Source organism: Homo sapiens, chromosome 4, assembly GCF_000001405.40.
Source record: "Homo sapiens chromosome 4, GRCh38.p14 Primary Assembly".
NCBI classification, from domain to species: Eukaryota; Metazoa; Chordata; class Mammalia; order Primates; family Hominidae; genus Homo; species Homo sapiens.
This window is the reverse complement of record NC_000004.12, coordinates 127,817,097-127,844,932: the sequence shown is the minus strand read 5'-3', so window position 1 is coordinate 127,844,932 and position 27,836 is coordinate 127,817,097. Positions and strand designations below refer to the sequence as shown.

The 27,836-nt window shown below is 35.8% G+C and overlaps 1 protein-coding gene across 4 annotated transcripts in view; it reads right to left on the bottom strand.

Annotated features, from left to right (window-relative positions):
• Positions 1-4,199: 4,199 nt before the first annotated feature.
• Positions 4,200-27,836, bottom strand: part of HSPA4L (heat shock protein family A (Hsp70) member 4 like) — a 58,938-nt gene continuing 35,301 nt past the window's right edge. For all 4 annotated transcript variants that reach the window (NM_001317381.2, NM_014278.4, NM_001317383.2 and 1 more), the window contains 7 exons: positions 26,513-26,608; positions 24,368-24,505; positions 22,039-22,164; positions 21,309-21,416; positions 17,509-17,628; positions 14,134-14,295; positions 4,200-12,250 (listed from right to left, as the gene is read on the bottom strand). In NM_001317381.2, the coding sequence (NP_001304310.1) occupies positions 12,059-12,250; positions 14,134-14,295; positions 17,509-17,628; positions 21,309-21,416; positions 22,039-22,164; positions 24,368-24,505; positions 26,513-26,608 (942 nt within the window). In that variant the 3' untranslated portion in view covers positions 4,200-12,058. The remainder of the gene's footprint in view (positions 12,251-14,133; positions 14,296-17,508; positions 17,629-21,308; positions 21,417-22,038; positions 22,165-24,367; positions 24,506-26,512; positions 26,609-27,836) is intronic.

The following is a 27,836-nucleotide window of genomic DNA, read 5'->3' as shown; positions in this document are numbered from 1 at the left end:
CGTGGGAGTAGGTGTGCCAAATGCTTGGAGTTACATCTGGGAGTAGAGCAGAGGGAGTGCTGTTGCACCAAGTTCTTTGTGTGCGGAATGGGAAGGTGGCTTAAACTCTTATTCCAGGGGGCAGGTGCACTGAAAGTCTGGAGTTACATCTGGGTATGGAGCAGAGAGTGCACCACTGTATCAAGATCTGTGCACAGGAAGGGAGGGGCACCTCAGGCTCCTAATCTAGGTGAGCACATGCCCGATGGCCTGGAAATGTGTCCACTGGTGAAGAGTGAACAACTGCTGCTACAACAAAGTCTTTGCAGGGAAAGGGATGGGCAGCTCAGGCTGCTAATCCAGATGAGCCAGTGCTCCAAATTCCTGAAGATATGCCTCGGTGTGGGGGCAAAGAGGGCCCCGCTGCACCAAGTTCTCTACACAGTAAGGGAGGGGCAGCTCTGTCTCCTAATCCAGGCTAATGTGTTCTCTGAATGGCTGAAAACGTGTACCCTGGCAAGGAGTGGAGGTACTGCTGGTGCAATAAGGTCTTTCCAGGAAAAGGGAGGAGCAGCTCAGGCTGCTAATCAAGGAATGTGGGTGCTCCAAATGCCTGGGAATATGCCTGGGTTTGGAGTGGAGAGAGTGCCACTGCACCAAAATCTCTGCACAGGAAGGGAAATGTGGCTTGGGCTGCTAAAGTTACTCTGAATGAGTTGGACTATGAGTGTACCACAGAGAATGCACCCCTGACACTGATGTCTTTGCAAGGAAAGAGGAATTTGACCCATTGCTCCCAATCCAGGCAAGACAGAGTGGGGTCCACCTCCCACTCCTTGTAACTGGTGGGGCACTCTTCCGACTGACCAAGGGAGCAGGATAGGGTACCCAGACACATGCAGACTGATTCTAGCTTGCAAGGCTGTCTCTGGTTTCGTTTCACCACCCAGGATAAACCTCAGCTTCAGTAACTCTCCTGCCGCTGCAGTCCTCCAGTCTTGCGGTGGTAGGGAACCCAATTCCAACGCCTAGTGCTGGGGCACTCGCCACACTCACTGCTCAATTCTGGCTTTGTGGGCCATTTCCTGCTCAGAGCATGTGCTCCAATCTCCAGCCAGCGACTAAAATGCCTGCAGTGGCCCCTGCTGCCAGGTGGCCAGTGACTGACTTTGTATAAGCCAGGGTTAAAGATTGCGTCCTCATCTCAGTCCCAAGTCCGGGAAAATGGCTGCAGCTTTTCCTGGTGTCTCTCTGTCTCTTCGCCTCTCTCCAAGTTATCTCCAGGGTTTGAGAGAAACAAGTTATTCTCCCTCGGCCTGGATTGCACGGATCCCTAGTGGAAAGGTGAGTCACGGAAACTGGCTCTCTGCCCCCTCACGTACTGGAGTGTCAGTTTTATCAGCCAGAGACTATCATGGGGGCCACCTGTCCACCTCCTCCTCCTCGGGATCTGGGGTGTCTTTTGCTATTCCCGTGAATTTCCGTGATTTTTTATTTTTTTTCTCACGGAGTGGATCTTTATGCATTATTTTGCTATTTCCAAGTGGCTGAGGCACACCATGTTGGGAAAATTCCATTATCAATTTATGCCATTAATTCCTTCCAAGTTCTTTTGGTGTATTTTGTCGTCTATCTCTACTTGGATGAGTTTGTCATTAAATCATCATTTTCAGTATATGATTAAAGCATATAAACTAACACTTTAGTTGCATCCTACCAAGTCTTACATGCAGCTTCCATTTATTTAAAAATTGTTGATCTCTTACTGTGCCAGGCATCCTTGTAGTTGTATGGGAAAGATAAAAATTGCTGCCCTTATGGAGTGGGAAGATACATTTTACAGTTAACATGTGTACATACATGCACACATACATATATAGGGATAGATGCAATGGGAAAAAGTATATTAAAAAGCAGTTGGAGTTTAAGGGGTACAGTTGCTAAAGTAACAATATTCACTGTCATTTGAAGTATTTTCTAATTTTCAACATGATTTGACATTTCTAGAAGTTAATACTTTCAATCCAAGCATATGGACATTTGGCATGTCTTGGATTATCTACATAATTTTTTAAAATTAAAAACATCTAAAAACTGATATTTGTACATATTAGTGGGGTAGATGTGGTATTTTGTTACATGCGTAGAACGTGTAATGATAAAGTCAGGATACTTACGGTATCCATCACCTCGAGTATTTATCATTTGTGTTGGGTACATGACCAGTTCTCTCTTCTAGTTACTTTGAAATACATTGTAAAGCAAATGTATACACTGTTAACTACAGTCACCATCTCTATTTCATAGGTGATTTCTAATCTTGTCTTATAAGGTGATTTCTCTTGTCTGAAAAACTATTACGGTCTTCAGTATTAAGTTTTGCTTTGTGGTCTACTATAATGAATTTTTGTGAATATGTTATTCCATGTGTATTTGGAAAAGTTTTACCTAATAGTCCAGTGACAATTTATTATATAATTTCATTAGATCCAGCTTTTAAATTTTGCTCCATTCTTTTATATATGTATTCACCATGCCCGGCTAATTTTTAGATTTTTTTGTGACAGGGTTTCACCATGTTGCCCAGGCTGGTCTCAAACTGCTGGGCTCAAATGATGTGCCTGCTTCAGCCTCCCAAAGTGCTGGGATTACAGACATGAGACACCGCACATGGCCTATTACTATTCTTATGGGTTTCAGCTTCTCATTGTGAATTGCTTCATATATTTTGAGGCTGTTTCAGAGCTGTTATAATCCTGAATTGCTCCATTTATCATTGTTAAAAGCTTACTCTTTATTCCCACACTCCCTTTATTATTTTACCTTAAAATCAATTTTAAGGTAATTCCAAAGCAAAATCAATTTTATCTGATTGTCACTTCTCTTTTGATAGATTTTTAGTATATCTTTTCCAATCTATTTGTAACTATTACATCATTATGTTTAAGAAGTCTCTGTAACCTTTTTTTTTTTTTTTTTTTTGTGATTCTCCTGCCTCAGCTTCCCGAGTAGCTGGGACTACAGGTACACGCCACCACGCCTGGCTAATTTTTTTTTTTGTATTTTTTAGTAGAGACGGGGTTTTACCATATTGGCCAGGCTGGTCTTGAACTCCTGACCTTGTTATCCGTCCGCCTTGGCCTCCCAAAGTGCTGGGATTACAGGCGTGAGCCACCCGCTCCCCACCAAAGTGCTGGGATTACAGGCATAAGCCACGGCACCCCATGCCTGGCCCACATGTGGTCTTTAAACTTGCAAGTTTATGGTACTTATTGTAACTACTTAGATATTTGGATTTGTTATTTTGTGATTTTTTTCTTCGCTTCTCTGTTGCCTTTAACAGGGTTCATTTTATTACATGTTGTTTCTTCCTTATTTATCTAAATTTAACCTGATTTTTGCCTAATACACAAATACTTTCAGGTTTATACTGCTTTATCACCACAGCTGGACACAACTGGTTTCATACTGCCTTCTAGCAATTGCAGGATGTCTGAACTCCCTTGAACCTATTTCCTTACCTTTTAAAATGGTAAAATTTTGTGGATAAAATATTGGGTACAATCAGACAATCACCTCTGAAAGGTTACAACTCTTACCTCATTAATCAGTAGGAACAGGGTTTTGATTTAAAGCAAAACTCTATCTCATTCTTCCAAACTCAGGAGTTAGCAAAATGGGAATGAACTGCCAGTTATTCAGCCTTCTAGACTTTATTCGCATTTGTTTAAAGTGCATAGGCGTATAAACACTTTTCTGGATTGAGGATCCAAATCCTTCAAATTTCCCAAGTTGTCCAACCACAAAAAAATTATTAAGCACCAAATGCTCCAGTCTAGACCGGGGACCTCAACCATTTTCTTTTCCCAACATGCTAAGCTATTTGACACATTTTTATTAGGAACAGCAATTCTCAAAACTGAGGAGCTATTATCAGAATCACTGGGGCAGGAAGCGTCCATTTGCCTGTTGAGAATTTCTAAAGTCTTAAAATTCATTTATTCCTGGGTTGTTCTCTAACAACAATACTTCCAACATTAGCAAAGTACTATTTTAGTTTTCAGAATCAATAGTATCTGAAGGTTTGAAAAATTTCCCAGGTTACTTAAAAACCCTCATTGCCAAGTAAATTTTTATAAATGAACTTGATGATCTGTCCACAGACCATCATCAAATCAATAAAGTTCAATAGGTGAAAATTAAACCTCAGGTGTGCAAAATTCATGGTTCAAGGAGTAGGTAGACATATTTATTATAATTACACGATTGTTAACAATGTGTACTGCCATCCAAAAATGAACATTTATTGCTACTTTGTTCACTAGCATAAAGATGCAATTTACTTACATAGAAAATATTTTATATGCTTTGATACTGCCATGTGTAAACATTCTTATGGATATGTTTGTGAACTAAAATTGACAAATACATATTCCTATGTTACCAACTTAAGATCATAAACCATTCTCATGTCTGCTCATTAAAGCTAAAGGGTCTATTACATGTGAATCTCAATTATTTTTATAGAAACATCACACTTGATTACCATTTTCTGCATTTCAGTGGTTGCTGTTTGTATTGAAAACAAACTGAGAAATTGAGAAATCAAATGTAGTACCTCTCTTAAAAAGAGGAATTGTTAACATTAGGAACTAAACTGCCAAAAGTTATTTTCCATAATGACTAGAGTCAGTCATCACATACACAAATTATTATTTATTTATTTTTTTCTTGAGATGGAGTCTTGCTCTGTCACCCAGGCTGGAGTGCAGTGGCGTGATCTTGGCTCACCACAACCTCTGCCTCCCAGGTTCAAGCTATTCTCCCACCTCAGCCTCCCGAGTAGCTGGGATTACAGGTGCACGTCACCATGGCCCCGCTAATTTTTGTATTTTTTTTAGTAGAGATGGGGTTTCACCATGTTGGCCAGGCTGGTCTCAAACTCCTGACCTCAGGTGATCTGCCCAGCTTGGCCTCCCAAAGTGTCAAGTTATTTTAATAATGGTTGGAGAAAAGAAAAGATGACCTGGATGCCATATTAGGAATACTAAACAATTCAGTAACCTCATTAAAAATTGCTTCTATTTGCTATGGTATTAAAGGACAATGGCTTTATCCTACCAAATATAAAAGCCACTTTTCATGTGAGTCTTTTTCCAAGACATTAAATCATAAAAGTTTATTTCAGGGAAAAAATACAACATTTTAAAGCTTCCTTTACCTAGATTTCCATTTCTAATTACACTTTTTTTTTTTTTTGAGACAGAGTCTCGCTCTGTTACCCCCAGGTTGGAGTGCAGTGGCAGGATCTCAGCTCACTGCGACCTCCACCTCCCGGGTTCAAGCAATTCTCTTGCCTCAGCCTCCCGAATAGCTGGGACTATAGGCACACACCACCACACCCGGCTAAATTTTTCTATTTTAGAAATGGGGTTTCGCCAGGGTTCAAGCGATTCTCCTGCCTCAGCCTCCCGAGTAGCTGGGACTACAGGCACACACCACCACACCCAGCTAATTTTTTGTATTTTTAGTAGAGACGGGGTTTTGCCATGTTGCCCAGGCTGGTCTTGAACTCCTGAGCTCAGGCGATCCACCTGCCTCGGCCTCCCAAAGTGCTGGGATTACAGGCGTGAGCCACTGCACGGGGCCTCTAATTACATTTTGACATCTACATTCTGGGTAGATTCATATAATTTTAAGAACATTTAAAAATACTCAAGTCCCCAGAAGCAAAAAATTTAGGAAACTCTAAAACAACAAGGAAGATGCACAACACACATACATAACCAGAGAGCAGCAAAGAATCAAAGGTGTCTAACAGCTATTTTGAATTTCTGACCCTTGTTATTCTGTCAAATTGATATTTGGATTAAAAATGAGGGATGTTGTTTACTTAATAGGCAATACTCACAAAATTGACCTCTTTTGGTCCGGAATTAAAGTATTCCAAGGCCAGAATACAAAAAAAGAATCTACTCCAGAATGCTACTATTAAATTACACAAAGAAATAACATAGCTTATCAAGTACGAATTTATAGCCAAAAAACCCTTAACGGGAAGAATAAATATTAAAAAGGAAACAAAAAGTAATAAAATTAACTATCCAAGTGATTGGATTATCAGTAAAACTATTTTTAAAGAGCCATGAACAAAAAGATCTAAAGGATAATAAAAAATAACAAATACTTGAGAAAAATACAGTGATTATTTAAGAGTCTAGAATTGGATAAGAGGATAAAGCAAGATAAAGGAAAGACAAAGATCATTTTCATTTATAGTTTATATGCTATAATGCAATTAAATTATTTAAAACATGTTGAATTTCACCAGTCTTTTTACAGGATAGGTAATTTTCAGGTGTCAATGACATTTCCCTAATAATCATCCTGTGACTTAGGGCATGACCGTAAATTAGAGATTCCAAAGCAAAGAGCATACTATTAATTTTTTTTGTTATGGATTTGTACTTGCCTGACAGACTGAACCAAATGTACATTATTTCAATTAGCTTTGTTTCTTTGACTGGAGAGCTCCAAGTCATTTAGTAATGTTTTTCAGCAAACCTACTTTTTCTTTTAATACTTACTCTAACAATATGTTGGAAGTATCTTTAGGGATAAGGAAGATGAAAGAGCCATCACCCACTTAATACTGATCACTTCCACAGACATTTAGGTTTCTTCTTTTCTTCTAAGTGGTTTCAGTTTTTTAATGTTCTGAAAATTCCAGGTGCCCTTTTATTGTTTAGAATAATTACCTTTGAATTTAGAAAAAAAATTGTAATGACATCTGGCAGCATTATAAATCCAAAGCTGTTTTGTTAGAAAACATGAGTATATAAAAGAACATTGGCCAGGTGCGGTGGCTCACGCCTGTAATCTCAGCACTCTGGCAGGTGGATGTGGGTGGATCATTTGAAGTCAGGAGTTCAAAACCAGCCTGGCCAACATGATGAAACCCCATCTACTAAAAATACAAAAATTAGCTGGGCGTGGTGGTGGGTTCCTGTAATCCCAGCTACTTGGGAGGCTGAGGCAGGAGAATTGCTTGAGGCTTGAGCCCAGGAGGTGGAGGTTGCAGTGAGCAGAGATTGTGCCCTCCAGCCTGGGTGACAGAGTGAGACTGTTTCCAAAAAAAAAACAAAAACAAAGTATTAATTTTCATGCATTTTAAATTAGAGAGGTGATAGTTAAACAGCTAAAGTTTCTTTTTGCTTGTTTTGGTTACAAGCCTTGGTCTTTGATCTGCATTAAATTTTTGTTACTTTTTATCAAAAGAAATTATATGCTTCTTAAAATTATTTTATATTCTTGCTTTAGATTAAATCAAATGTTGGGCAAAAACCAAAAGGTATAATGTTAAACCTGCCATCTTTTTTGATAAAAAGTATCTTCTGAAACTGACTGCTTTACAAAGATTAGTTTGCTAAGTGGACTGATTTTTGCAAAACATACTGTAGGTAGTAAGAGGATAATATCAGAATTAAGCTTTATAAGCATATCCCTCTCATGCCACATGAAAAGTCATCAAGGGCTATTTAACCAGTGTTACCAGATTTTAAATGTATATTGATATGTACAATTAGCTGTGCCTCTCATTAACAGTTTATACAATAAAATATCACAAAACAAAATTCTGCTTACAGTTCAAAACTTTAGAAGTTTAACCACAAAATAACATTAACTTTAAAAGCAAAAATTTTTGGCCGGGTATGGTGGCTCACGCCTGTAATCCCAGCACTTTGGGAGTCTGAGGTGGGTGGATTACCTGAGGTCAGGAGTTCAAGAGTTCAAGACCAGGCTGGCCAACATGGCAAAACTCCATCTCTATAAAAATACAAAAATTAGCTGGGTGTGGTGTCATGCACCTGTAGTCCCAGCTACTCAGGAGAGGTTGAGGCAGAAAAATCGCTTGAACTCAGGTGGTGGAGGCTGCAGTGAGCCTAGATCACCCCATTGCAATCCAGCCTGGGTAACAAAGCCATACTCTGTCTCAAAACAAAAAAAAAAATTTTGTAAACTTTTAAAAACTGAGAAAGTTATATTTTACCAATAACTTAAGAATCATTTCTAAATCTATAATTTGTAAAATTAATGCAATGACTTTAATTGTGGACTACCAAATACCAACTATTTACTATAAAACAGAAAATCCTAATGGGAGAGGCTTATTATTTGTCAAATTTATGAAAGTGGAGGAATGGTTGTATGTATTTAGGGTGAAAACAAAATCAGTTAATTTGATTACTATATTCAAATGTCTACTACCTTTAATAAATATAGATTTTTCAAAACAGTTAAAGATGGGCTAATTTGGATTAAGTGCTTTAACACTGACATTATGTTAAATTATTGAGCCCCAAAATTCTCTTTAAAGACTTCTATCATGGAATTAATCACAAATATACTAAAAATTGACGCCTCCCTCCCAAAAAAAGTCTAAGAAACCTTTACTTCTTTTAGCTCTTAATATACTAAAAATTGACACCCCCCCCCAAAAAAGCATAAGAAACCTTTAATTCTTTCCTTTAGCTCTTCTTAGTAAATGTCTTGTTTTCCTTTTATGTTTTTGTTTTGTTTTGTTTTTGAGATGGAGTCTTGCTCTGTTGCCCAGGCTGGAGTGCAGTGGCGCGATCTCGGCTCACTGCAACCTCCGCCTCCTGGGTTCACACCATTCTCCTGCCTCAGCCTCCTGAGTAGCTGGGACTACCGGCGCCCGCCACCATGCCCAGCTAATTTTTTGTATTTTTAGTAGAGACGGGGTTTCACCGTGTTAGCCAGGATGGTCTTGATCTCCTGACCTCGTGATCTGCCCGCCTTGGCCTCCCAAAGTGCTGGGATTACAGGCGTGGGCCACTGCCTTTTATGTGTTTGAGACAGGGCCTCACTCTGTTGCCCAGGCTGGAGTGCAGTGGTATGATTATGGCTCATTGCAACCTTGACCTCTCAGGCTTAAGTGATCCTCCACCTCAGCCTCCTGAGTAGCTAGGACTACAGGTGTGCACCACCATGCCTTGCTAAGTTTTTATTTTTTTAGAGACAGGGTCTCACTATGTTTCTCAGGCTGGTCTTGAACTCCTGGGTTCAAGTGATCCTCCCTTCTTAGCCTCTCAAAGTGCTAGGATTACAGGTGTGAGTCACTGTGCCCAGCCTTGTTATCCTTTTCAAAATCAAGTTTATCTGTTATTTCAATAGCCAAATTCTTTGCTGTGCTCTTTCTAGTTTTTTGGAAGAATTTTTGTTTTTTTTTTGAGACGGAGTCTTGTTCTGTTGCCCAGGCTGGAGTGCAGGAGCACGATCTCAGCTAACGGCAGCCTCTGCCTCCTGGGTTCCAGCGATTCTCCTGCCTGAGCCTCCCGGGTAGCTGAGATTACAGGGACATGCCACCACGCCCGGCTACTTTTTTGTATTTTTAGTAGAGACAGGGTTTCACCATGTTGGCCAGGCTGGTCTTGAACTCCTGACCTCAGGTGATCTGCCTGCCTTGGCCTCCCAAAGTGCTAGGATTACAGGCGTGAGCCACAGCGCCTGGCCAAAACTTAATAATTTTACATTACTGCTAAGGAATTATCACAAACTTCCATTATATTATTTAACAATTGTTTTTTATAATCACAGTACAACTATCAAGAGTTGGTTTCTAAAACCACAATTTACACTTTTCCACAGAGCCAAAGTATACTAATTTATATTAATCATTCCAAATATTCCCTACAAACTTCATTCTTATTTGCTTACCATAGGAAAACACTGTTTTACTATGCATCTTTTAAAATAATTTCTGAAATAATAGCTTTTTATTTTGAAAATCTTTGTCTAGCATTGCATATTTTAATGCAGATTAAAATTGGACTGAATTAGACTGTCTACCCAAAGCTGCATTAAAGAGAGCACTCTCTTTCATTAATGAATTAAATAAATAAATACATTATAAGGCTAAATCGTTTTTGAAATCTTTTAAGTTGAATAATTGGGTAGAAAAAGTATATATATTTGGATGTATATAAGTTATTAAATGAAGTGTTATATAATTACAAAAATTAGTGGTACTATCTGACTAAAACACAAAACTAAAAGTGACTTCAGAGCAGGAATGGAAAATGTCAGGATATACTAGAAAATTTAGATGTATTAATAGAAAAGTTGTTCCCATATTTACTCCCAGGAAGTTTCTGAGGCATAGCTCCTAACCAAGTGAGTGGATGTTTTAACCCAAATAGAAGCTCTAAAGTCCCTACTTGTATTGTTACATATTTGCTTTCATTATCTTCATGCTTTTCTTGAAATGAATCTGTACATTCAACATACAAATAAAAAGCATCTATGTTTGTAAAAAATGTATTTCATCACCTATTGGATATACCTATTTCATTTTAAGAGAATTAAGAGAAAGTTTAAAGACTAGGAGAGTTTAAAAATATATTAAGTTTATATGATTTTTTAATGCAAAAAAGAGATTCTTCCCCTCAAAAGACGGAATAAAAATCCCTGCAAAATGCACTACTCCATACTCTCCATTAAGTGCTGACTACATTGTAGAAACAAAATCTCTCGTAGAGAACTAGTTGTGAGAAATAATGACTATCCCTAAAGATATTGTACTCTCAATTTTTACAACTTAAGTCAATATTTAATTGTTCCTAATATAAAGATTTAGCTTTGGGAGAAAATGAGCCTTTTGAAATTTTAACCTAGGTCAATCTAGTTGATTGGCATTAAGGACATAAGGGCTCATATACTTGTCTATGCTTCTGTCTCTTGCAGGTTGAAACACCATTTCAGTCTGTTCCCATACTTAAGCAGTTTCAGGTCTCTGGACAGAAATTAACAATGTGAACAAGTTGGGTGATGAAGCACAGATAAAGTCCTTAAAATACATCTTAAGTTTACAGTCCCTTTTCGCATTTAATTTGTATAAGAAGCACCAAAACTGGAGCCAAGGTTTCAAAAGGTAATGTTAACAGCAGGAACTATAATTTAATCACACAACACTATGTAACATTCTATATTTTTGCCTGTTGATATGTAACATAGTTAAGTTTATTACAAACATTATTTCCTAAGACTTATGGTATAAGTGCTCCTTTTCAAGTATTACCACTTAATAGTGTTTAATCTACAAGGTAACATTAGGTAAATCAATGATAAATGTATATAATGCAATACACTGTGCCACTTCTTCCTACCCTGTGTTAAGGTATTATTAACAAAATCAATTAAGAAAAAAACAAGACAACTATTATAACTGAAACAAGGCTATGAACATCACAGATGCATGTCTGAGTAGATAAACAGCATTTCCCCTTAACATGAAAGTCATTTTGTCAGAGACTCCTGTATCTTTAGGCTAGCATTGTTTTAGCAGCAGCTAGTCTTCAGGACAAGATCAAAAATTTCAAGCGAAAAGACAACGAGTTACTCTGAGAAAACATCAATCCACATTACTAATAAAAGAAGCAAACTGCTGGTTTCACCTTAACATAAAATTGGGTGTGTTCCCTTTCACATGTGATTTAATTCATTTATGTGATGACAGCAAAGCTTTGGATTTCTGTGGTACATCAATGAGATGGACTAATTTGTTGAGAAAGCTCTTATTTGTTTTAATATTTAAATTGTAGCAATACAATAACTAGAAAAAGGTCAGTGCCTCTGTAGCTTTAAACCCCATCAATTTTCATTTGTTTTTCAAAATAAAGATGCAATTAAATCTATGCTTCTGCAACAATAATGCAATAAAGTATCCTTTCCTGAATAAAGGAATTGAGGTTTATCCCAGTAGAAGCTTTAAATAAGGTAGACTGTTGCCAACTATGTATCCATCCTGTATGTTTGATATATAAAATTATCCGGAAAGCTTAGATTGTCTTGTAAATCTAATTCGGCTAACACTGCATATAAGCAGCAATGGAAATGAACAGAAGTGCACTCAATATAAAACACTTTTCAAAACTACTCCAAAAAACAAATGACAAAAGTGGTTAAGAACAACTGAGCGTCTGTTGTGTGTACCAGATGTAAAAGATGGACCCCGTGGTTACTTGCACGGTTTGAATTAATGTGAAGGTAAAATTAAGACTTAGTCCACTTCCATCTCTCCAGAGGATTTAGTATGCTGTGAGCTGTCTTTTGTTGAATCTGATTTAGTTTCAGTTCCACTCTGTCCATCCATTGGGCCATTGTGTTCACTATTAGCTTTTGGTTTGTCTTCAGGAACTTCTGCTTTTGGTTTGGGCTTGTAAATGATGGGGTTACAGAAATTATCCAGTTCCTAAAGACATGAAGAAATTGATTATATTAAAACGATTACAGAACAAGTTACCATTAACTTTCTAAATTCCACATTAACTTTCTAAATTTTCACATAATTCCCCCTTTCTGAATTTGCTCAGCTAGATAGCCAACTGTTTTCTTCAAATGCCTCATGAGAGATTTACCTTGTTTGTTAGTATATGTCTGTGGCAGTCAAAAATTATTGAATCTTAAACAATTATTTTTTGTACTTAACCTTTCTAAAACTTGTTTCTTTATAATCAAATACAGTTTACTTTGGCAGGAATAATTTTTAATTCTTCCTTTAAATTACGTGTAATGCTTTGCTATGAGAATTACATCAAATAACACCTATTTCATAAACTGAAAATTTTCAACATTTATATGAAAACAATTCTAATAAATGGAATCATACAAATACATACACAAACGACATTTTTTTTTGTTTGAAAATAGCTGAGTAGCCTCTCCTGAAGGAAAAAGTGCCGTGAAAGTAAATTGGAACTTAATAATTTAAATGAAACAATGCTCTTCAATTTCCTTGCTTTTTACAAACAAATAGAAGACCACTATACAAACACTACTCAAATTTAAAAACCTTTGAAGATCAATGTCACAAAGATCGGGGTAGCCACGGAAATATAGGGATTAACATCTTAAGGGGAATGTTTTAGTTGCAAACTGCTCTTGTCACACTCCACATCTCATCTCATCTCATTAGGAGTAAAATATATATTATAGCTTATTGGCAAAACTTTGTTAGAATAAAAATATTGTTATTACTTACTTCATTATAAAAAATACCAGCTTTTGTTAAAAAAAAAGAAAAAAAATCACATATCCCAAAACATACTGAATGTTATTTTAAAAATCCCCTGAAATTCCATCTCCTACAAATTAATAATATTAACCTTTTGGTGGATATCCTTCTAGATGTATGTTCAGGCATACACATACATATAAACAAATCTATGAGCACACGTATTTGTACAAATGAATACATTTAGGTTCTGTAATTTAACTTACCAATACACTGTATACATCTTTAAACAGATATCTCTATATGTAAAATGCTATATTTAATGGCTGCATAGTGTTGTATGGATGCATCAACTTATTGATCTAGTTTCCTATTGACAGATATTTAGATTGCTTCCTTTTTTTTTTTTTTTTTTTTTTAATAGACAAGGTCTTGCTCTGTCACCCAGCTGGCGTGCAGTGGCATGACTGTAGCTCACTACTGCCTCAAATTCCTGGGCTCAAGGGAGCCTCCTGCCTCAGCCTCCTGAGTAGCTGGGACTACAGATATGCACTACCACGCCCAGCTAATTTTTGTATTTTTTGTAGAGATGGGGTTTCACCATGTTGTTTATGCTGGTCTCGAACTCCTGGGTTCAAGCAGTCCGCCTGTCTCAACCCCCCCAAAGTGCTGGGATTACAGACGTGAGCCACCACGCCTGGCCAACATTTTCATTAGCAGTGTTTTTTAAATTGAAAAGTTTATCTCGGAATAAGATTTTACCATGGAAGTTTATACGCTTCAAACTAGGTCAAAGACAGACTTATACTGAAAAATTTTGTAATGAAGACTTAGAGGTTTCATCCAACCTATAAGTCTGAAATACTTAATCAGAAAGTTGTCACATTGCTTTTATTTCATTCTGTATTACTCTTGAAGTTTAAAAACCAGCCTGGTATATGAAAAATTAAATCAAGGGATACCCCATACCTAAAATCTTAAAATTTTTTAACTAAATAAAAAATTAGTCTTAAATTTCTGTTCTAAGTTCTTCTGCAAGTTGATTATTTGCCAAAGTATGACTCTCATTAAAAATTTTAATACTTGAAACCATTAAAAAGGCAATTTCATAAACTTCTTACCTTTGACTTTGCTACTATTTCTGAAACTTTTACCACAGGATCTTGAGTGAGACTTAGTTTGTTCTGTGCATTCATCTTACTATTCAGCCAACTCATGGCATCACTGATACATTTTTCAACCTTTTCCATTTCAGTAGGATCCAGATGATCATATCTTTCATCCTATTTAAAAAAAAAAAGCTTGACTGCATGTTAATGATTTTTCAGCTAGCACCAGTTTATTAGTAATTTCTACTTTAAAAATTTAGACTCTTATTGACTGTATATCTCAAATGTACTCATCTGAAGAAACCCCATACGAATAACACAGAACTGAAGAGAATGGGATAAAAGATAAGATCAGTGTGAGTTTAAAAAGGAAAGGCTCTCTGAAGAAATCAGGTTTGGGAAAGAATGACTACTAAGGAATACTCATGGAGAAAGCACTTAGCCAAGGAAGAAGTTGCAAGGAAATGGAATTTGTAAAGGAGAAATAAGGTGAACAAGGCATATAGCAAACTAGACACAAAATTATGAATATATAACAGAAAAGCATATTAAATTCTTGATTAGAAAAATGACAAAATTCTTTCTGAAGAAGAGAAACTGCAGCTGTCACATGTAATACACAACCAAGTAGTCATGGTTTAGATTAGTAGTGACAGAATCACAAAGAAATGGCAATGAACATATAGAAAGAGAATCTCCTGATGGATTAGTTTGGACACAGAAGATAAAGGGAAAGAGAATGTAAGAACACTCCAAAGTCAAAGAAGTGGGAGGATGGTGATGCCATTTTTAAAACCATAAAGCTATATATATGAAGAAAAAAAACCCCAAACAAACAAATGGAAAACCCATAAAGCTTCCTCGGATACCCAAATCCTCCTTCTGCTTTTATTACAAATTATGCATCAATCATCTGACTCAGTTTCTAGGTCGCCACATTTTCTTGAATTTCTTCCTATGTCATGGATCACTTTTTAAGTTTCTTTTGCCAGTTCATCCTCATTCATCTCTCTACCCATATGCTTTAAAAAAAAAAAAATCTCTAGCCTGAACCTCTTCCCTTAACTCTCAACTCTATATCCAACTTTGAGTTTCTATTTGTAAAGTTTGAAATGCTTATGTTTCAAACACCTGATTATGTCCCCACCTACTCTTCCCAGTTTTCCTCATCTCAGCAAATGGAAACTTCATTCTTTCGGGTCAAAATCCTTGGAGTAATTTTCAGCTTCTTTGTGATAGATTTACATCAAATCTATCAGGAAATCTTAAAAGCGTCTACCTTCAAAATAAATGCAAAAATCTAACCAATTCTTGGCTCCCCAACCCTACCATCTGGGTTCAAGCCTCCATCATTTCTTGCTGTATTATTCTAATAATGTCTTATTCCATCTCTCTGCCTCCAGATCCTTAAAAAAAAAAGCCAAATGTTATTACTCCTGTGCTCAAAAACCTCCAACAGCTTCCTATCTCAGAGTAAAACCCAAACTTTTACAAGGGCCAACTAGACCCATTTATGATCTCTCAACTGCTACACTTACCCCTATTTTCAACCACAGTGACCTTGCTGTTCCTCTAACATGTTCTCCCCTTGGTGTTTTGCAACTGCTATTCTTTGTCTAGAGCATTTCTCTTCCAGTTATCACACATCTTTGAGTTTTCACTTCTTCATTTCTCTCCTAACATGTGTATCACCTTATTAGTACACCTTTCTGACAAACCTCTTCCAACCCTGGCAGTCCTTTACTTTTTCTGCAGCTTTTTATTACTATCTGACATAACTTACAGTAATTTATTGTCCACCTTTCACTATTGAAGCATATTAAAAACAAGTTCAATGTTTTGTTTGACAATATAGTTCAGTCATCTAGAAAATAGCCTAGCACATAATAAAAACTCAAATGTTTGAGCAAAAGTGAAGTCTTGCCTTGTGTGGGATAATATCTTAAATGTGCATATTGAAGAAGATAGCTAAAGCCTGGGGAGCACTGTGACACTAGTAATTATACCAGATTTAAAATATTCTTGGTGTTTTCATTGGGTTGTTTCTTCCTTCTTACTTTTTCATTATCCTTACAACATTCTATCTGTGCCTATAAGAACAATTTGAACACTGATATTAGCAGGCATATTTACAATCAATATCTGAATTTTTCCTTTAGGTTTTCTGAACTGCAGTTTTTGTTTCACAAAACTAAAAAATCTCTTATTTCTAAAATAAGTAATTCTTCTCAATTTTGTGTAGTGGAAAGCAGTATAGTTGCTGGGAATTTGTATATTGATGTCAGACTGGTTAGGTTTGAATGTTGATTCCATCATTAACTACTTGGGTAAACCTCAATAAGTTGCTTAAGTATTTCCGTTTTCTTAATTGTAAAATAAAGATAATAGCATTAACTTTGTATAGGATATATCCTGGTGAGATAATCCACATAAAGTACTTAAAATTCATGATGTGCACAATAAATGTAAGCTATTTTGACATGCTTGAATATTTCTGGTGCTGGTCTCTTCTTCCTACTAATGCATGTTTAACATCAATGACAAAAACTAGGGATTACAGAGAATATTTACTTAGAGTAGGGATTAAAAAACTTGTCCCATCGGCTAAATCCAGCCACTGCTTATGATTTTTTAAATAAAGTTTTTGGGAACACAGCCATGTCCATTAGTTTGTGTATTGTCTATGGTACTTTTGTGCTACAGTGGCAGATAAGAATAGCTGTACAGACACAGTAAAAACTACAAAGCCTAAAATATTGTTTGTCTTAAAAAAAGTCTGATAACTACTGATTTAGAGGAAACAAAACAATAAGCTTAATTTTCTCAAATTTTACGGTTATATCTAAATGGAAGTATCATCTGTATAACTACATATTTGACAGTGGAAAGATTAAGGTTATATAGATTTGAATATGTACATAAAAGAATAAAGCGTACAGGAGATTATGGATGACTAATGGACTGGAGGACAAAAAGCAACTAAAAGAAAAATAAGCCAAGAAACAAAATAAAGGCTAGCAGAGTCCAGTCTCAAAGAGGCCCATAATTTAAAAAAAGTCAAAGAGGTCCTCTTTTTCACTATATGAAAAACATAAAAATGAAATCTCTAGGAAGAAAACAATGGATTTGGTCACTGGGTTATTTTATAATGTAGTTTCAGGAAATTCTAAAAGATGAAAGCTACATACCTTTACTGTATTTCAAATGTATCAGAATCCTTAAGTGAAATTCTCCAATAAAAAAAAAAGTTTTAAGTTTGGTACACAAAGTCTCTGGAATTTGATAGATACAACTGCTATAGCTTTGTAGCTGAGAACTTTTAGATTTGCCCCATTCTATGTACCATGCACATGCCATCGTCACCAATTGGCTTTATGAATTCAATACCTTGTTTCTATAAGCTTCTATCACTTTCATGACAAGTTGGATCTTTTTTCCCAAGTCATTTAAGGCTTTTGGTCTCTCTTCATGCTCCATGTACTTCATTTGAATAGGCTGGCCGTATTTCTGTTAACATAAGAAATTTTTAAAGAAGAAAAATTTTTGAGTTTTAACAGAAAACTTTTATAGGGCCCTTATAGGATGATAAATAGGAAGAAAAGATGGACAGATAAAAATATATCCCCTCTTATTTTCCTGTATGGAAGCAAGTTACAGTAGCTACTTCCTCAATCCTACACAAGGATGCCTTCCACACACCTTATCTTTTTCTCACTCATTAAGATTACTTCTTAGCTTCTCAAATCCAATGTCTCAATCAAAACTTTAATTCCTTAAAAGCTGGGTGTTAAAACTTTATAGAACTATTAAAATAAGAAAACTGTAAAAACTATACTGCATGCAGAATTTGTAGATTTGAAACTTGGTATCAAATACTCAAAATCATAATATAACCCTCTATGTACAACATAATTACTGGGACTGATAATTATTATCAACTAAATATTATTTATACATTTAATCAGTAAAATGTGTACTGTAGTATATGTAGGTTTTTCCCCTACATGTCTTGGATTAAGGAGTTTCTAAATGTTAAAACAGACTCTGTAGTTTTGGGAAGGGGAGCACATTAGAAGGATAAAATATTTTCTTTTAAATTCTTTATATACTTAAATAAAAATCGGCTTATTTTAGAACAGTTTTAGATTTACAGAAAAGTTAAAAGGAAATTATACAGAGAGCAAGCACCAGACGCTTCTCTATGCTTTTCTCTAATGTTAGCATCTTAGGGTACATTTGTCAAAACTAAGAAACTACCACTGGAGCATTACTATTAACTGGACTACAGTCTTTATTCAGAGTTCATTATCATCTGTTCCAGGATACCATTACTACATTTGGTCTATTCACGTCATACTTTTTATAGTTTAAATGTTTTTGAAAGGGAAGCAAGTACTGCATTTTTTTTTTCCATTGGGACAGGGTCTTGCTCTGTCACCTAGGCTGGAGTGCAATGGCGACAGCTTACTGCAGCCTCAAATTCCTGGGCTCAAGTGATCCTTCTGCCTCAGCCTCCCAACCTGGAACTACAGGCACATACCACTGTGCCTGGCTAATTTATTTTTTTGTAGAGATGGGGTCTTGCTTTGTTGCTCAAGGCTGGTCTTGAACTCCTGGCTTCAAGTGATTCTCCTGCCTTGGCCACTCAAAGTGCCAACATTACAGGTGTGATTCACTGCTCCTAGCCACCATTTTAAATTTTTAAATGCCATCTCAAAAACAGAAAAAGTAAAACTTGTGAAAACTTCTCTAACATTCATTTCTATGGCTACTTACATATTTGAAGCAGAAGAATCCATAATAGGAACTGCTGGGATTTCCAGTTATTTCTACTGGCCTCAGCTGCTTGGCTTATGTTTCTTTTTTCTTTTTTTTTTTTTTTTTTGAGATGGAGTTTTGCTCTTGTTGCCCAAGCTGGAGTGCAATGACGCAATCTCAACTCACTGCAACCTCCACCTCCTGGGTTCAAGCGATTCTCCTGCCTCAGTCTCCTGAGTAGCTGGGATTACAGGTGCGTGCCACCATGCCCGGCTAATTTTTTGTAATTTTAGTAGAAATGGGATTTCACCATGTTAGCCAGGCTGGTCTGGAACTCCTGACCTCAGGTGATACACCTGCCTCTGCCACTTTGGGCCACTGGGATTACAGGTATGAGCTACTGCACCTGGCTGGCTTGTGTTTCTTTTAGGGAGACAGGGATTAAAAACTACCAAGAAGACATGGTAAAGCCTAGTTTTGCTATCATAAACTTAGGTTTTCTAATTATTTCCTTTGGAAGTATTTGTTGGCATGAAGGTAATTTTTTGCACAGTATTAACTTCTTTTACTTTTAAGTTGAGTAACTTCTTTTGCACACCTTCCCCCACCTCATGCCTGTCCCAAGTTGTAAAGGGCCATCTTTCCCCATATTCTAAAAATCCTTGTTAATGTCATCATTTAGCATCTATATAATCCCTTGCTACTCAAAGAATAGTTCAGGGACCAGCATCATCAGCATCACTTGGAAGTTTGTTAAAAGTGGGCCCACCTTGTATCTACTGAATCAAAATTTCCATTTCAATAAGCACCCAGGTAATTCATATGCACATTAAAGAACTGCTATGATCCATACTAAGAAGGAATGACTGAAAATTTCCTTCATCCTTCCAATATAAACGTGTTTTTTTTTTTTTGAGATGGAGTCTCATTCTGTCGCCCAGGCTGGAGTGCAGTGGCGCAATCTCAGCTCACTGCAAGTTCCACCTCCTGGGTTCACGCCATTCTCCTGCCTCAGCCTCCAGAGTAGCTGGGACTACAGGTGCCCGCCACCACGCTCAGCTAATTTTTTGTATTTTTTTTTAGTAGAGACAGGGTTTCACCATGTTAGCCAGGATGGTCTCAATCTCCTGACTTTGTGATCCGCCCGCCTCGGCCTCCCAAAGTGCCGGGATTAGAGGCGTGAGCCACTGCGCCCAGCCCAATATAAACTTTTAATCTTTTAAGGTACTTTTTCCAGATTTGGTAGCAAGTATGGAAGGTCTTTCCCTAAAATAACACCACTGACCTAAAAAAGGAGATTTTGTGGCCAAGTCTCTTGATTTGTGAAAGGACGTTAAAATTCAAGAGCAGTGACACTGAAAATACAACAGACCAGTGTGGTATTACTCCCTAACATCAGACAGTTAACAGTCAGAGGAGCAGGAGAAGAGGGTGACTCCTTTAATGGTCAAGATGATATACTTATCACTTCTTAAAGACATGCCAGTAATATATAGCTTGTGCAAAAGTAACACTCTGATCATCTATAAACATTTATATTTCAACATTATGACTATACAATATCTGATTTCAATTATATAGCATTGCTGGCTTCTCAAAATGCTTTTAAAATTAGAACATTTCCTCTTATACATTTCTGATTTAGTAATTTTTCACATACTTACTAAAAACATACAGATCCAGCAATCTCACTACTGTGTATCTATCCAAAGAAAATAAAATCACTATGCCAAAGAGATATCTAAACTCCATGTTCACTGCAGCATTATTCACAATAGCCAAAATAGAGACTCAATCTAAGTGTCCATCAGTGAAATGATGGATAAAGAAAACGTGGTATGCATATACAACGGAATACTATTCAGCCTTAAAAAGAAGTAAATCCTGTCATTTGAGACAACTTAGATGAACCTGGAGGACATTATGCTAAGTGAAATAAGCCAGGCACAAAAAGACAAATACTGCATGATCTCAAAGGTTGAATCTAAAAAAGGTAAGCTCTTAGAATCAGATAGTAGAATTGGTGGTTATCAGGGGATGGTATGATGGAGAGCTACTGGTCAAAGGACACAACATTTGAATTAGACAAGAGGAGTAAGTCCAAGAGATCTATTGTACATCATGGTAACCACAGTTACCATATATACTTAACAATATACTGTATATTTGAAAATTGGTTGAGAGAGTAGATTTTAAGTGTTCTCCCCCCCAAAGAAAGAAATGTATGTGAGGTAATGCATTTGTTAAATAGTTTGACTTAGCCATTCCACAATGTGTGCATAATCAAAACATGTCGTACACCACAAATATATACAATTTTCCTCTCAATTAAAAAATTAAAAATTAATAGAACATAAACTGTGCTCTTACACCCTAATTTTTAGAAAAAGTTACTGGTTTATACTAACATGGACTTTAAAAAAATGTACCTTTAGTTCTTGAAGCTTATCCACATAAACTTGTTTAGGTTGGTCCTCTCCGTCTTCATAAAGCCAATTTTCTGTGTCTTCCAATACTGCAGACAGTTTACTCAAGTCCTAGTAATATATTTGAGAGACACTAATTAAAAATACTTTCCTTAGAAATAAAAGTCATCATTGGGCTCAGTGCAGTGCAGTGCCTCATGCCTGTAATCCCAACACTTTGAAAGGCCAAGGTGGGAGGATCGCTTGAGCCCAGAACTAAGAGACCAGCCTGGGCAATATGGCAAAATCATATTTCTACAACAAATTAAAAAATTAGCCAGGCATGATGGCATGTGCCTGTATTCCCATCTACTTATGAGGGTGAGGTGAGAGGACTGCTTGAGCCCGGGAAGTAGAAGTTGCAGTGAGCTGAAATCGTGCCACTGCACTCCAGCCTGGGCGACAGAGCTAGATGCTGTCTCAAATAAATAAATAAAAAAAAAATTAAAAATCATGGAAGGACAGAATGTTTTTCAAGTATAAAATATTAAATTTCAAAATTTTCTAACTTCTTATTCAAAAATATGTTTTTCACCATACTTCTGCAACTTGTAAAAATAAGAACCTTCCCCATATGGGCCCAAGATTGGCAACAATAACAACATTTGGTACATTTATTTATGTAATTTGTACTAGCATTCTCGAGTAAACCTTTAAATAGTCCTCACAAAAAATTAACAGAATTTAGACTTACTTCTGGAGTGATGAATTTTTCATAGACAGTGCCCAGCCTGTCTCTAAAATCATATACATATTCTTCAACGGCATTCTTAGCATCATTTCTTTCTTTCTCTAACTTATCTTGCATGATCATCTTCCCCTATTCAAAAAGCTTCAGATTAGTTGCCATAAGAATATGCATTAGGGAAATAGAAATCAAAACCACAAGATACCACTTCACACTCACTAGGATGATTACAATACAAAAAATAAGTATTCATGAGGATGTGGAGAAAGTGAAACCCTTGTACATTGCTGAGAGGAATGTAAAATGCTGCAGCCACCATGGAAAACGTTTTGGCTGTCCCTCAAAATGCTAAGCACAGAATTTCAATTTCACTCCTAGATACACCCACAAAAAATTGAAAGCAGAGACTTGAACAGATATTTGTATGTCAGTGTTCACTGCAGCATTATTCACAATAGCCAAAAAGTAGAAACAACCCAAATGTGCACTAAAAGATGAACAAATAAAAAAAGTATATAAACACAATGTAGTATTTTACTTCATTTTAAGAAGAAATGAAGTTATGATACGTGCTGAAACAAGGAATCTTGAAGTCATTATGCCAAGTAAAATAAGCCAGACACAAAAGGACAAGCATTGTATAATCCCACTTAACATGATTCTTATCTATTGATAACTAGGCAGTTCGCAAAGACAGAAAGTAGGGAACTGGGAGAAGGGAGGAAAATAAGTTATTATAGAGTTAACGTTTGGGGTGATGGAATTGTTTTGAAAATAGACAGTGGTGATGGATGCACAGTATGGTGAATGTAATTAAAGCCATTGAATTATACACTTAAAAATGGTTATAATAGCAAATTTCATGTAAAAAAATTAACGTAGTATACCGAAAACCACTGGATACTTTAAATGGGTTAATTATGATATGTAAATTTATCTCAATAAAGCTGTTAAAAAACAAAAGAAAACATAGCCTATGTCATTCTACATACTCAGATTAAAATCCTAGGTTCCCTATTTACTATCTTGAGATAGCAGGAAAATCATCTAAACATAAGTTTTCTTATCCTAAACAGAGAGCATAATTCCATCTAACTCATAGGGCTGCTAATAAGGTTGAGATAATTCATGTAAAATATTTAGTTCCATGTTTGACACATAACTGGTAATGAATAAAAGCCTTGCGGGGGTGGATATGGTATAGTGGTTGTGATACTGAGCTTTGGAGAACAATCACCTGGATCCAAATCCAAAGGGTATTCTCTGATCCTGGGTAATTTAGTCTACTTGTGTCTCAGTTTCCTCACCTGTGAAATGTAGTTCTCTAACAGAACCTACACTTCATAGGTTTGAGGGTAAAAATAAAAAGTATTTATAGATGTTAGTTTATGATGAACAAAAGCAAAGAAATAACCTGAAGATTATAATACTTGAGCAAAATTTTCACTTTAATAAAAACACATGTAAACGTTAAGAATCCCTTTATAAATTACAATGCATTCACATTTGTGAAGTGAAAATAATGAGACATTCAAAAGTTAAGAAAATCTCATTTTATATACAAAATTTCCCAAAACTGTGCTTCCCTACAATTCATTCCTTTGGGAAAATTTTTCTCAAGACACACAAATTCCAAATTATTCAGGATCTCCAGGAATGCTTGCTTCACATAAAATGCAGCCTTTAACAATTATTAATGAATAGATGATATAGGTAGGTACTACAAAAGCAAGCATTGTAAAGTCAGAAGACTGACCTTTTAATGCCAGCTGAGCTTGTAAAAATTAGGAACTACCACTTAAATGTAAACTTATAAAATATAAATTACTTCTTAAACAGATACTGGTAAAGAAACAAAACTCGTTTCCTCTAGAGACTGTAACTTAAACATGTAAATAGAAAAGAACATGTAAGAAAATGTCAAGAATGACAAAGATTTTTTAAAAAAATATTTAATGGATGTCAGAAAACATTTTGAACAGAGATATAATCTTTAAGGACAACACAGGAGAAGAGGGGAGCAGCTAATATTTCCCCATATGTGGTCTGCTGGGTGTCATTGTTAAAGACAGAATAAAAGGAAGAATCAATTTCAGAAAAGTCTTTCTCTATAGAGGAGGCAATACATGTTTTTCACACAACTAAGATGATAGCTACACAGTACATATGGCATTAAAACAGCTCAGTATTTTGTAAAAAATAGTTTAGTAATCTACTTAATATAATTCCTTAGGAGTTATAAACTAGTGCCCTAAATTTTGGAGATAATCATTGACTTCTACAAAATTTCAGAATAAACTACCACCTATTTCAGCATCAACTCAGATTTACATACCTCATTTTCAATGTAGCTGTTGAGAAGATCTTGGCCTAGTTGTCTACATAGGCTACTCTGGATCGGTAGATCAATACTTTTGACTTTTCCTTTTTTAAGTGTCTGATTTAATCGGTCTTGTTTGTCTGAGACAGCTGACTGCAAATCCGAAAGAGAAGTATAAATTTCTAAAATTAGCTTAAAAATAGATTTAAGAGGTAAAACAGAAAGTAAAATCAAAACGATTATGATCTGTTATATTTATTTTAAAGTACTACCTTAAGACTGATGTTATTTTGTAGTCTGTGTATGTTAAATCCTAGTTTCTATATTAAAAATATTGGGTTGGAAATGAAAAGCAAAAGTAAGACGAGTAGCTACTTCTCACCCATTACAGTGGCTACAATTAAAAAATATAAAATAATAAGTGTTAGTTGAGGATGTGGGGAAACTGCAACCCCTCATACATTGTTTGCAGGATTGTAAAATGTTGCAGCCATTCTGGAAAACAGTTGGGAAGTTCCTCAAAATGTTCAAGATGACAATCTTAACAAAACAATGTTAACAAAAATGTTAAACAATTATGACCCAGCAATTCCATTCCTAGGTATATGCCCAAGAAAAATGAAAATACACACCCCCGCAAAACTTATACATGATTGTTCATAACAATCATAAGAGTAAAAAAGTGAAAATAACCCAAATGTCTATCAACTGATAGATGGATAAATAAAATGTGGTATGTATTCATACAATGCCGTATTATTCGGCCATAAAAAGGAATACTGATATATTCTACAACCTGGATGAACCTTGAAAACATTATGTTTGGTGAAAGCCAGTCACAAATAAGTACATACTGTATAACTGTACGTATATGAAATGTTCACAATAGGCAAATCTATTGCCTGTTCCCTGTGGCTGGCAGGGAGAGGGCTGAAGGGAAATGGGAAGTCACCGCTAATAGATAACAAGGCTTCTCTTTGGGATGATGAAAATATTCTAAAATTGTGATGATGGTTGCACAACTGAATATACTAAAAACTGTACAACTAATTGGATGATTTGAATGACATGTAAACTATATCTCAATAAAGCTGTTCAACAATTAAAATTTTGAAAAAGTCAGAAAAAAAGTTTCCAGGTTTTAAATAACTTTAGAATCTACAATTTAAAACTAAATCTTTACAATCTCTGAGAAATGAATCTATTTGGCTAACCTGCATAGAATTTAATCTATGCAGGTTAGAAAAATCTGTTGAAGATGATAGCTTTAAGAGTTATAACCACATTCATCTGGGTGACTGGGGCAGGGCCTCTCCCTTCTGTCTTATTGGCAATCACTATCTTAGAAAAATAATTACTCTCAATAAATCATTTATCCTTTAACATTTTATTTTTGAAAGTATTAATTTTTACACATAGAAAAATATTTTATGATATGCAACAAAATAATTAGAGTGGTTAATTCTGAGATATAGAGTACAGCTAACATGTTTTCCTCATATAGCTTGTTCCATCTCATATTTTTCTGAAATGATTTTTTTCACTTAAAGTTAAGATTTTAACTTATGTATTCATACTTTAGAAATACAATGCAGTTATTGGTGAAACATGAGAAATAATGAATTAAGGAAATAAGGTAAAGAATTCAGGCAATTTTATTGTTGGGTTCTTTGATAAAATTTCCTTTTTTTTTTTTTAAACTTTTAAGTTCAAGGGCACATGTGCAGGTTATATAGGTACACTCATGTCACAGGGGTCTGTTGTACAGATTATTTCATCACCCAGGTATTAAGCCTAGTACCCATTAAGGGGAGGGATCATCTCCCTCCCTCCTCCACCCTCCACCTTCCAGTAAGCGTCAATGTTTGTTGTTCCCCTCTATGTGTCCGTGTGTTCTCATGAGATGAAAAAAAAAGTTAATGAAAAATGTATCTTTTTTCCTACCAAAAAAGGTAATTTTGCTCATGTTGTTAGGGTTCCTTTTTAAAAAACACAACTCTTAATAAATCATTAAAGTATATTTATTCTGGCTATCAGCTTTCTATATTCTCTCACAATTCTAAGATCAAAAATATCAAGTGCGTTAAAAGAAAGCATTAAATACAATAATTCAAAATATCAATTTCAAAAAGACATAACTACAGAAAAAGTAAACCAAACCTTTGTTTTGGCTCCTGTATGATCAATTTCCTCTTCTGGAGTGTGTTCAGCATGACATTTTTGATGCCCTTCTTCTTGATCAACCTGCATTTTATCCTAGAAAGAAAATACATAATTGATAATATACGCAGTGTCTTTTTTTTGTTTTAAAAATGTAAACTGCATCTTAAGAGTTCAAGCCTGTTTTGAAATGTAAAATGTAGAAACAGTTAAGTAGAAGCTCATTTTTCAAATGAGAATTGCTACAAATAAACAGATTAACAGGGAAGTAAAGTGAAAAGATCTATTTGATGCTATGGGATAAATCTTGTTTATCTATGGCTAAGTAATTGCAAAATACGTGGAAAATTGTTCTCAAGCCAAATTTACAAATCAAGATTCACAAAAGCTTACAAAAAAAGAGAACATTCAAGGGTGGGGGGCTAGGGGAGGGATAGCATTACGAGAAATACCTAATGTAGATGACGGGTTGATGGGTGCAGCAAACCACCATGGCACATGTATACCTATGTAACAAACTTGCATGTTCTGCACATATATCCCAGAACTTAAAGTATAATAAAAATAAATAAAATAGAGAACATTCAACTTGATATGAAAGATGTTTATAAATAACACAAGAAAATAAAATGAAAAAGATACAAAATCTATGAATTACACAAATACAATACTATATCTTTAAATTGTAAAATGTAAAATAATTAGAAATATGCACTTTGAGTTTTGATATAAATTAATCAAAATTAATCAAATTAATCAAAACTCAAAGTGGGTGTTTCTAAATTATTAAAAGGTACACTTTTAAGATTTTTTTATGTCTAAAAACCAAACTTTCTACCAATAAAATCTCCAAAATGAACTCTCCACTTGGCAAATAATCCCATATATATAATAGATTTTTTTGGTCACCTTCTTAATCCTGTCACCATCCTCCTGAAGAAAGCTTGAAATGTAGGAATCAGCATAAGTTAGGTCTTCAACTACATCTAGAATTAAGCAAATCTGTAATACCCAGAAAGCTATCTTGAATAAAAGCTTATTTCTGCCAAAGAGGAGCTAATTTTTTTTTTTTGTAGTTAAAAGATCAATTATTCTTCGGGAGGCCAAGGCAGGCAGATCACTAGGTCAGGAGTTCAAGACCAGCCTGACCAACACGGTGAAACCCTGTCTCTACTAAAAATACAAAAATTAGCCAGGCATGGTGGTGCACGCCTGTAATCCTAGCTACTCAGGAGGCTGAGGCCGGAGAACTGCTTGAACCCGGGAGGCGGAGGTTGCAGTGAGCTGAGATCGTGCCACTGCACTCCAAACTGGATGACAGAGC